Source organism: Homo sapiens, chromosome 1 (genome assembly GCF_000001405.40).
Source record: "Homo sapiens chromosome 1, GRCh38.p14 Primary Assembly".
NCBI lineage: Eukaryota > Metazoa > Chordata > Mammalia > Primates > Hominidae > Homo > Homo sapiens.
In genome coordinates, this window is record NC_000001.11 from 240,911,264 (window position 1) to 240,923,705 (window position 12,442).

The following is a 12,442-nucleotide window of genomic DNA, read 5'->3' on the forward strand; positions in this document are numbered from 1 at the left end:
TCTCTTTCTCTCATTTCATTGCCAAATATTTGGGAAAGCAGTCCAAGGTTACTGCTGCCTTTGCTTCTTCACCTCTCATCCTCTCCCTGAAATCTGATCTCCCTACATCTCTCATTTTCTCTCTTGATTCTTCTTCTGGTGATTTCTTCTTAAATGTTAATGTTCTCTAGGTTCCAACTTGGGCCCTCTTTTTGTCTTAGTCTACATGTCCTCTCTGAATGATCTCATCCACGACCATGGCTTTAACTATAACCTGACTCTAGTGATTCAAAAATCTTTCTGTCCAACACCAATCTCTTGTCTTTACTTTAGAATTGGATAGCCACTGCATACTGGGTGCCTATAGCTAAACATCCAGCTATCTGTAAGTCTTGTAAACACAACAACGGTATGGAAATCCAACTGAAAAACACTCATGCCCAGTGGACCATGAATTTAAGGCAAGTCTGATGGTGTGAGAAAAGCATAAAACCCAGTCAGAAACCTTGGGTTCCAATCCCAGCTCAATTGTTTTTAGTCATAGGGCAGGTCCTCTATCTATCTGACTGTGATTTTTCACTTGTAGAGTATGGCTTACTGTACTTTAAAGATTTTCTGGCCGGGCGCAGTGGCTCACGCCTGTAATCCCAGCACTTTGGGAGGCTGAGGTGGGCGGATCATGAGGTTAGGAGATGGAGACTATCCTGGCTAACACGGTGAAACCTGGTCTCTACTAAAAATACCAAAAAAAAAAAAAAATTAGCCAGGCGAAGTGGCAGGGGCCTGTAGTTCCAGCTACTCGGGAGGGTGAGGCAAGAGAATGGCGTGAACCCATGAGGCGGAGCTTGCAGTGAGCTGAGATCGTGCCACTGCACTCCAGCCTGGGCGACACAGCGAGATTCTGTCTCAAAAAAAAAAAAAAAAAAAAAAAAAAAGATTTTCTGTGAGGGATTAAATCAGATAATGTATGTAAAGGTGTGATGTAAGCTGGTAAGTGTTATTCCAATTTCTGATATGCTATTATTTAAAATGTAGTTGGACAAGCAGGAGTAACATTTAAAATGAGACAAAAAGTACAAGCCACCAGAAATGCAAATATCAAATTAATTTGTCCCAGTAAACTAAATATAAATAGTTTTTACACTTTAATGTACATCTGAAAGAGCTTATTAATAATGTCAATGCTTGAGCTACAGCCCAGATTTAATTGGTTGGGAAAGAGGTCAGTAATCTTTACTTCAAAATCATTCCAATTGTCACAGGCAAGTCAGGGCCACACTTCAAGAAATAGTGAAATATAATGCACTTGAGGGATGGTCAATCCTCAAAATATTCTAAAGACTTGTAAAGGCTTCAGAACTAGTTCCTTCTTGAGAAGCACATTGCTTCTTTTGCTGAGTTCAAATTGTAATGAATTTCAAGGCTTCCAATTCTGGGCTTCTTACATAAAGCAATCATTCCTTCCTCACTCCCAACACAAACACATAATTTTTAATATATAAATAAATATATATATTTACATTTGCATATTCTGTTTTCATTAATGGAATTTTTTTCCTGTATACTACATGAGTAATAATGTAAAGACACGAAATAAAACAGACACTAATTAGGCATGTTTGAACATCTGTTGCTACCAAACATTTTCTATTTCTCTTTTCATATCTCTGCTGATGGGTTTAGATGAAAAGACTACAAGCCTGCATACTTACAGGGAGGAAGGAGCCAAACTGGAAAACCAGTAGCACAGGTCGGTAGGAATTAATCTCAGCAGGCTCGCTTCAGCATTCGGAGACACAACCAGCAAAACACTTCCAAGCTGGTGGCTCAGTTAATATGTGAAGCTATTTTTAGTACAACAGAGAGCATTTCTAGAGATTGAGATTATAAACCAGGGATACATCCCAAACATATTAATATGGTTTTAATTTTATTTTACAGATACCATGTTTCAGAATATTTTAATCTCCATGTGAATAATTGTTTTTATTTTGTATGTATGCATGATGTAAGTATGCATACAGTACATTTATATGCACGAGCATTATTCATATACATGCATACCTACATGTAAAAATCTGGGTAAGAGAGTAAATCAGATGTTTTAGTCCTTGTATATATAAGGTAAAAGCCAGACCTTTTAATGACTTACACATTTGATCAGGAAGTTTTGTGTTTTGAAATGACAAAAACTTGGAATATTTTCGAAAGGAGTAGAATACTTTCGGCCATAATTTTCATTTTTAAGATGCCTTAAATGTTTTAGTTCCTTTTAATAAATAATCTTACACAATGAGTTGGTTCTCACTGTCGTATTAGGTAAATGGGTTTTGTTGTTGTTCGTTTTTGCTAAAATGGGTTTTGTTGTTTTTTGTTTTTGCTAAAACGAAAAAACTTCCTTTTTATTAAGGAAGTTATATGAAAGTCCATCACTTCCACAAATTAGGAGGCTACACTACTGCAATTTGGCTGAATCAGTGGATATTTTTAATGTTGCTTATTTTGTGCTTTAAAATTGCAGTTATCCCAGAGCATCTGTAATTTTGTTTTTTTTTTATTTTGAACAAACTGTTATCTGTTAAATTAACAATAAGAAAAATGTTATTTTATCTATGTTTATTCATTCTTCAAAATTCTTCCTTTTGTTTTTTTTGTTTTTTTAATTTTCTTTTTTTTATTATTATTATACTTTAAGTTTTAGGGTACATGTGCACATTGTGCAGGTTAGTTACATATGTATACATGTGCCATGCTGGTGCGCTGCACCCATTAACTCGTCATCTAGCATTAGGTATATCTCCCAATGCTATCCCTCCCCCCTCCCCCCACCCCACAACAGAATGATGATGAGATATTCCTGGTAAGATGTAATGTTTTATTTTTCTTCCTGGATCTATCTCTGATCTTGTTCCAGGGCACATCAATTTAGAAACACTCATCGATTATGATAGCTTTGAGAACAAACATTGGAACATTAACATGCTAATTTTGTTCTTTACAGGTTGATGGTAGAAAATGTATAAAGTTTAAAAACATGCAAGTCTTATTAGCATTCTGCTTAGATAAATACAATCTTATTTTATTTCTCTCTCCTTTTATTCATGCCCTGCCAATTGAGAGTGCCAGGTTTCTCTCCTTTTCTGTTTCACAGCAGCTCCAAAGCTAAAGGGAAACCAAGGTGGAAAATAATTACCCCAAAAGAGACATTTTCCATGACACTAATGGCTGGATTTCAGATACTTTCCAAAGCTCATTGGAAAGGGAGAACTCATGGAGAAGAAACAACCAACTTTAAGTATCCCATTACTCTCAGAGGTTGACTCAGAGCCTATTCCATGTAGAAATACTGAAGAGGGTGTAAAAAAGAACGAAAAGCAGAAACAAAATAAATAAATAAAAACAACATAGTCATGCTTTGTTTATCCTTCTTTCCCTTGCAAACATCTGCTCTCTGGAGTCTGCTCTGGCATTTAAGGAGCTTGGAAGTCATCCCTCCCATCCAATCTCACAAAGAAAAAAAAAGCTGAAGAAGTAAAAACCAACAATTCCTCTGAAATCCCTCAGAGGATTGATGTCAGAGGGCAAACCATTGACCCCATGATTGGAGACAAAGACAGAAATGTACAGAGAATCATGACCTAGAGTAACAGAAACCTTTGGGAAAACCAACATTGGGATAGAAAAACTTAAACTGCAACTGATTAGTTGTTCGAGGCTCAATGTGGATTAATTTGAGCATTAAAAACTCCTTTGAGGATCAGGGAGCAGTTTTAAGGGGGCTACCACACATTTGTGACTTTTACTTCCAGGAGCCCTACTAGGTTTGCACAATGAGGGTCAGGGAGAAATTTCCTAATGCTTCCAACAAGGAACAGGGAAAAAGTAACCATTCCGAAATACACCCAGGTCACTCTGTTCTTCTTATGGCCTGTCTCAAAAGAAACTGTATTACCCAGAGCCCAACAGACTGAGATTATAGCAGAGCCTAAACCACCGGGGAGTAGGGAAATATCCAACTCCAGCCCCTCTATCCTTCCCATTGCACCTAAAGAGGAAAAACCCCCAAAACCCAAGGAGCACATGTGGAGATCATGGCCCAGGGGTAGAGGCTCACTGTGGGACTGGGTCCTAATCATCAGATTATACAAAGCATCCCCCTTCCCCTGCACCTTACCACAATACCAGTAGGGCTCCTGTATAATAACAGATGAACGCAACGGAAAGAACTGTATGACCCATGCCTTATTTAAGAAGAAGTTTCTAGGAAAACCCAAAGACAACAGCGGGGAATAAAAACAAGGACATCAGAGGAGATGTTAGCCTCTAAAGCCTCTAGCTACAGCAAACAGTAAACACAGCTCAATTACTAGCCAGATAAACATAAAACCTCACAGTAATGGCCTGTATGCCTCATTTATTTAGTACATCACATCCTACTGTCAACAACAAAAAAAATTCCAAGGCACACTAAAAGACAAAAAACACAGTTTGAAGAGTCAGAGCAAGCATGAGAACCAGACTAAATATGGAAAATATATGGGAATCATCAGGTATGAAATTAAAAGGAACTATGATGAAATTCAAGAAATAAAAAACATAATAGAAATGAAGAATGAAAAATTAGTTCATCAATAGACTGGACATGATTGAGGAAAGAATCAGTAGAGTTTGGACATGTGTCAAAAGAAACCTCCAAACTGAAATACAAAGAGAAAAAAAAGTATAAAAAAGACAGGAAATGTCAGGCGCAGTGGCTCATGCTGTAATCCCAGCACTTTGGGAGGCCAAGGCAGTCTGATCACTTGAGGCCAGGAGTTCAAGACCAGCCTGGCCAACATGGTGAAACCCTGTGTCTACTAAAAATACCAAAAAAAAAAAAAAAAAAAAAATTAGCACATGGTGGCTCATGCTTGTAATGCCAGCTATTAAGGAGGCTGAGCATGAGAATTGCTTGAACTCAGGAGGCAGAGGTTGCAGTGAGCCAAGATCATGCCATTGCACTTCAGCCTGGGTGACAGAGTGAGACACTGTCAAAAAAAAAAAAAAAAAAATAGAGAGAGAAAGAGAGGACAGAACAGAATGTCTAAAAACTGTGGGGGTAATTATAATATAAAAGGCATAACATACATGTAATGGGAAAATCAGAGAAGAAAGAAAAGAACAGAAGACATATTTGAAGCAATAATAACTGAGATTTTCCCCAAGTTAATGACAGATATTGTTATGAGCTTAATTATGTCCTCCTGTTCCCCCAGCCTCAACTTATGTCAAAGCCCTAACTCCCAGTAACCTCAGAATGTGGCTGTATTTAGAGATAAAGCCATTAAAGAGGTAATGAAGGTCACATGAGATCATAAGGGTGAGGTCCCAATCCAATATGACTGGTGTTGTTCTAAGAGGAAGAGACTCAGGAGATGGGCCTATACAGGGAAAAGGCCATGTGAGGACACGGGAAGGTGGCCTTCTGAAAGCCAAGGAGAGAGCCTCAAGAGAAATCAATCCTGCCAGCACCTTGTTCTTGGACTTCCAGTAGCCAGAGCACTTCTACCCTCATATTTATTGATGAGATAATAAATTTCTATTGTCTAAGCCATACAGTCTGTTATATTTTGTTATGGTGGCTCTAGTAAAGGAATCCACCAAGCCACACAACAAGGAAACTCAAACAACACCAAGCACAATAACTATCAGAGCAACCACAGACATATCACATTTTGACTTCAGAGAACCAAACATGAAGAGAAATTTTGAAAGGAGCGAGGGTGGATGGGATGAGGGAAACCTTACCTGGAGAGAAAAAATAAAATAACTGCTTTGAATTTCTCATCAGAAACCATGCAAGCAAGAAGAGAGTGGGGTGATAGATTTAAAGTCTCTAAAGAAAAAACCCATTAACCTAGAATTCTGTATCTTGTGGAATTATCAAAAGTGAAGGAAAAACAAAGACTTTCTTAGAAAAACAAAAACTGAGAGAATTTGTTGACAAAAGACCTGCCTTGAAAAGAATGTTTAAAAACAGTTCTTCAGAAAAAGGGAGAATGATATAGGTTGAAACTACATAAAGAAAGGAAGACTATTAGAGAAGGAGTAAATGTACGTCAAACAAAATCTCTTTATAGAAAGTTTCTTAATTGATCTGATGGATAAAAAAGTGTTCAAAATGATACCAGCAACAATGCAATTGGTGGTTATAGCCTAAAGGAAAGGAATGACAGCAATATTATAAGAGATAAGAAGGAGAAAGTAGGAATACTCTGTTATGGGATAGTTGCATTACATGTTAAGTGTACAGTGTTACCTAAAAATGGACTTGGATTCGTTGTAAATGTATATTGCTAACTCTAGAAAAACTGTAAGACATTTAAAAGGAATTATAATTGATACTGGGCAAAAAGGGAAAACAGAATTATATAAAATGTTCATTTAAAATCAGAGAAGGCAGAAAGAGACAGGAAGACAAAAGGAAACTAATATAAAACAGTTATAAACATTAATGTAACAGTTATAGATATTAAACCAACAATATTAATAACCACTTTAAATGTGAATGATATACATCAAGTAAAAGACAGGGACTATCAGAGTGGATATAAAACAGAACCAACTATATTCTGTTTAGAAGAAACTTGCTTTAAATACAAAGACACAGATTAAAAGTTAAAGGATGAGGAAAGATATGCCATGCTAAAACTAATCAAAATAAAGCTAAATTAGATAAATTAATTTCAGACAAAGACTCTAGAAAAAACATTTTTCAGGGATAAATTTCTTTTATTGCATAACAACAGAAGGTTCAATTCTCCACAAAGACATAACAACCTTAATGTGTATGTGCTTAACGACAGAGCATCAAAATACTTGAGGTAAAAACTGACAGATTACAAAGAGAAATGGATGAACAATTACTATCACTGGAGGCTTCCACACACATATATCTGTGGTTGACAGATCTAGCAGGCAGAAAATCAGGAAGGACAGAATCAAACTAAGCAGCACCATCAATCAGCTGAATTTAATGGCCATTTATAGAATAATTAATGCAACAGCAACAGAATCTATAGTCATCTCAAGTTCTCATGACATGCACCAAGATAGACCACATTCTAGGTCATAAGACACACCTTAAAAATGTAAAAGAATAGAAGTCTTTCAAAGTATGATCTCAAACAATAGAATTAAACTAGAAATCAACAACAGAAAGAAGCTGGAAAATCTCAAAGTACCTAAAAATTAAACAGTACACTTCTAAACAACACACGGGCCAAAGAAGAAGTCTCGGGAGAAATTTTAAAGTATTTCAAGCTAAATGAAAATGAAAATACATGTTATCAAAATTCACAGGATGTAGTGAAAGCAGTGCCTAGAAGGAAGTTGAATGCATATATTAGAATAAAGAAAGATCTAAAATCAATAATCTAAATTCCCATCTTAGAAAACTAGAAGAACAAAAGCAAATTAAATCTAAGCCAAACAGAAGAAAACAAATAATAAAAATCAGAGCAGAAATCAATAAAATTGAAAATCAATAGAGAAATTCAACGAAACCAAAATCTGGGTGCTTAAAACAATTAATATTGATGAGCCTCTAGCCAGGCTAATTAAGAAAAAAAAAAGAAGACACCAATTACTGGTATAATAACTGAAAAGGAGGCCATCACTGCTGATCCCCTTTATCCTAAAAATAGTAAAAGAATATTATGAACAACTCAACCCCACAAATTTGATAACAAATTTTTGGTTCAAAAATTTGAACCAAGTTTTTGAAAGATACAATCTACTGAAACTCACACTAGGAGAAATAGATAATCTAAATAGGCTTATACTTATTGAAGAAATTGAATCAACAATAACAACTTACCAAAACAGAAAGCCACCAAGCCCAGATAACTTCACTGGGGAATTCTACCAAACATTTGAGGAAGAAATAATACTCCGTACAATCTCTTCCAGAAAATAGAAGCAGAGGAATATTTTCTAACTAATTCTACAAGGCCAGCATTACTCTAATACCAAAGTCATTAAAAAATTACCAAAAAGGAAGACTACAGACCAATACTTCTCATAAACATAGATGCAAAAACCACCAACAAAATATTAGCATATTATATCCAACAATGTATAAAATATTATACATCATGACCAGGTGATATTTATTCCATATATGCAAGAATGGTTGACAATTTATACATTAATTAATGTAACCCATCACATCAACAGGCTAAAGAAAAATCATGCAATCATATCAATACATGCAGAGAAATCATTTGCCAAAATCTAGCACCAGTCATGATAAAAACCCTTAGCAAACTAGAAATATAGAGGAATGCTCCCAACTTGATAAAAAAAAATGCCTACAAAAAACCTACAGCTAATATAGTACAAATGAAAAGTCTCTCTTCTCCCTGCCCTCATGCCTAAGTCAGAGTCTCCTAAAGAACCGAACAGCTGAGGAAGCTCTTCATTGGAGGGCTGAGCTTTGAAACAAGGTGAGAGCCTGAGGGGCCATTTTCAGCAATGGGGAATGCTCATGGACTGTGTGGTAATGAGAGATTCAAACATCAAGAGCTCCATGGGCTTTGGGTTTGTCACATAGGCCACTGTGGAGAATGGGGATGTGGCCATGAATGGAAGGCCACACAAGGTGGATGGGAGAGTTGTGGAACCAAAGAGAGCTGTCTCAAGAGAAGATTCTCAAAGACCAGGTGCCCACTTAACTGTGAAAAACATATTTGTTGGTGGCATTAAAGAAGACACAGAAGAACATCACCTAAGAGATTATTTTGAACAGTTTGGAAAAATTGAAGGGATTGAAATCATGACTGATTGAGGCAATGGCAAGAAAAGAGGCTTTGCCTTTGTAATCTTTGATGACTATGACTCCGTGGATAAGACGGTCATTCAGAAATACCACACTGTGAATGGCCACAACTGTGAAGTTAGGAAAGCCCTGTCAAAGCAAGAGATAGCTAGTGCTTCATGCAGCCAAAGAGGTCGAAGTGGTTCTGGAAACTTTGGTGGTGATCGTGGTGGTGGTTTTGGTGGGAATGACAACTTTGGTCGTGGAGGAAACTTCAGTGGTCATGGTGGCTTTGGTGGCAGCTGTTGTGGTGGTGGATATGGTGGCAGTGGGGATGGCTATAATGGATTTGGTAATGATGCCAGCAATTTTGGAGGTGGTGGAAGCTACAATGATTTTGGCAATTACAACAATCAATCTTCACATTTTGGACCCATGAAGCGAGGAAACTTTGGAGGCAGAAGCTCTGGCCTCTATGGTGATGGAGGCCAATACTTTGTCAAACCATGAAACTAAGGTGGCTATGGTGGTTGCAGTAACAGCAGTAGCTACGGCAGTGGCAGAAGATTTTAATTAGGAAACAAAGCTTAGCGGAAGAGGAGAGCCAGAGAAGTGACAGGGAAGCTACAGGTTACCACAGATTTGTGAACTCAGCCAAGCACAGTGGTGGCAGGGCCTAGCTGCTACAAAGAAGACATGTTTTAGACAAATACTCACGTGTATGGGCAAAAAACTTGAGGACTGTATTTGTGACTAATTGTATGACAGGTTATTTTAGTTTCTGTTCTGTGGAAAGTGTAAAGCATTCCAAGCATTCCAACAAAGGGTCTTAATGTAGATTTTTTTTTTTCACCCATGCTGTTGATTGCTAAATGTAATAGTTTGATTGTGATGCTGAATAAATGTCTTTTTTTTTTAATGTACTGTATAAAGTTAGTCTGCTCTGAAGCCATCTTGGTAAATTTCCCCCAACAGTGGGAAGTTAGAATTCCTTCAGGGTGATGCCAGGTTCTATTTGGAATTTATACACAACCTGCTTGGGTGGAGAAGCCGTTGTCTTCAGAAACCTTGCTATAGTTGAACTGATAGTTACTGTTGTGACCTGAAGTTCACCATTAAAAGGAAATAGCCAAGCAAAATCATAAAATTATTGGTTATAAAAATGAGTGTTGGCACATCTTATGCAATATACTAAATTGAATAATGGTACCAGAAAAAACTATAGATGGGAATGAAGATTGTGTAACATCTATTATCATGTGTAATCAATAAATGATTTAATTCTCTTGAAGAAAAAAAAAACTAGATGCTTTCCCACTAAAATAAGGAAAAATGCAAGAATGTCCCCTCTCGCTACTCCTATTTGCCATTGTACTGGAGTCCTAGGTAATGGAATAAGACAAGAAAAAGAAAAAAAGGGTATATAGTTTGATAAGGATGAAATAAATCTTTGTTCAGGAAGACATGTTTGTCTAGGTAGACAATCTCAAAGAAACAACAACAACAAAAACTCTTAGAACTAAGTGATCATAGCAAAGTTGCAGGGTACAAAAAAAGTCAGCGGTTTTCCTATGTACCAGCAATGAAAAATTGAAATATGAATTTCAAAACACAATACTATTTATGTAAGCAGCAAAACTTAGGCATACATCTAACAAAGTATATAGAAGATATATATTAATAAGAGTACAAAATTCTTTTAAAAGAAATCAAAGATCAAAATCAATGGAAAGACATACCAAATATGTGGATAAGAAGACTCAATATTATTAAGATGTGAGTTCTTTCCAACTTGACCTGTGAATTCAATGCAATCTCCATATAAATCCTAGCATACTTTGAGGATATTGACAAACCGATTCCAAAGTTGAAGTGGAAAGCAAAAGACCCAAATTACACAACACAATACTGAAGGAATGCAATGACAGAGAGTTGACACTACCAAACTTCAAAACTTACTATAAACCTATAGTAATCGAGGCAGTGTGGTATTGGCAAAAGAAGAAAAAAAATAAATCAAGGAAAAAGAATAGAGATTTCAGGAAGAGACTTAGACAAGGTAGAAAAGGTAATCGAATGGAGAGAAGATCCTATTTTCAAAAAATGGTGCTGGAACAACTAGACCTCTACATGCAAAAAAAATAAATATAGACTCCAGATTTTACTAATTTCACAAAAATTAACTTAAAATAAATTATACAACTAAAAATAAACTGTAAAACTATAAAACCTTTAGAATATAACATAGGAGAAAATCTAGGTGACCTTGAGTTTGGCAATGACTTTTTAGACACAACATCAAAAGCACAATCTATGAGAAAAAATTGTAAGTTGGAATTTATTAAAATTTAAAACTTTGATTCTTTTAAATACACCATTAAGACACTGAAAGACAAACTACAGACTGGGGGAAAATCTTTGCAAAACGTATCTGATAAAGCACTGGTATCCACAATATACAAGGAACTCTTACAATTCAACAATAAGAAAACAACACAATTAAAAAATCGGCAAAATATAATATCTGAACAGAAAACTCAACAAAGAAGACGAACACTTGGCAAATATGCATGTGAAGAGGTGCTCAATATCATATGTTATTAGAGAACTGTAAATTTAAAAAACAATGAGATACCACATCTATTAAATGACTAAAATCCAAAACATTGAAAACACTAAATGCTGGTAAGGATGTGGAGCAACAGGAACTTGCATTCATTGCTGGTGGGAATGCAAAATAGTGTAGCCACTTTGGAAGACTGGAAGTTTCTTACAAAGCTAAATATACTCTTACCATATGATCCACTTTCCTAGGTATTTGCTCAAATGAATTGGAAACTTATGTCTTCAAAAAAATTCTGTACATGAAGGTTTATAGCAGCTCAACTCGTAATTGCCATATGTGGAATTGATTAAGATGTTCTTCAATGGGTGACTGGATAAACTATGGTATATTCATAAAATGGAATATTCAGTGATAAAAAGCAATGAAATATCCTGCCATGCAAAGACATGGAGAAACTATAACAAATCTTGTTAAGTGAAAGAAGAAAAGGCTCTACACTGTGTAATTCCAACCCTATGACATTCTGTAAAAGGTAAAACTATGGAGACAGTGAAAAGATAAGTGTGTGCCAGGGGTTAGGGTAGGGGTATGGATAAATAGGCAGAACACAGAGAATCTTTAGGGCAGTGAAACTAAATGGTGGATAAATGTTATACATTTCTGAAAACCCACAGAATGTATAACACAAAGAATTAACCCTAATATAAACTATGGACTTTTGTTAACAATTATGTATTAATCTTGGCTCATTAATTGTAACAAACATACTATATTATGGTAAGTTTTTAATTATAGGGGAACGTATAGGTGGTACTGAGGCATTTTGTTGGAACTCTCTGCATATTTTGTTTAATTTTCTGTAAACTTTGAGATTCTCTGAAAAAAATGAAGTCCATTAATTTTTAAAACTCTGCTCCCTAGAACATGATTTTAGGAGCCACTAACACCTGGCTTCAAAAACAGACATGCAGGGATGGATTCATTAAAAGTGAATGACAAAGGCTTGGAAAGTTCTTCAGAGGACAATAAAATAGAACTGTAGAGGCCCTCTTACAGCTCTTATAAAACAAGCAACTGTGTAAATTAAATGCCAAATGGAA

General features: G+C 36.0%; 1 protein-coding gene and 1 pseudogene across 22 annotated transcripts in view, besides 1 other annotated feature; one reads left to right on the forward strand and one right to left on the reverse strand.

Moving 5' to 3' along the window:
• Window positions 1-12,442, reverse strand: part of RGS7 (regulator of G protein signaling 7) — a 582,489-nt gene that overhangs the window by 136,522 nt on the left and 433,525 nt on the right. The window lies entirely within an intron of this gene.
• Window positions 6,423-6,592: an enhancer, noted in NCBI's record as "experimental_6389 CRE fragment used in MPRA reporter constructs". NCBI's record gives its function as "activates a minimal promoter by MPRAs in K562 erythroleukemia cells, with activity observed for both the introgressed and non-introgressed 1:241081071 variant alleles {active_cell/tissue: K562}" and the evidence as "EXISTENCE:reporter gene assay evidence [ECO:0000049][PMID:34662402]".
• HNRNPA1P42 (heterogeneous nuclear ribonucleoprotein A1 pseudogene 42) lies at window positions 8,366-9,546 on the forward strand (annotated as a pseudogene).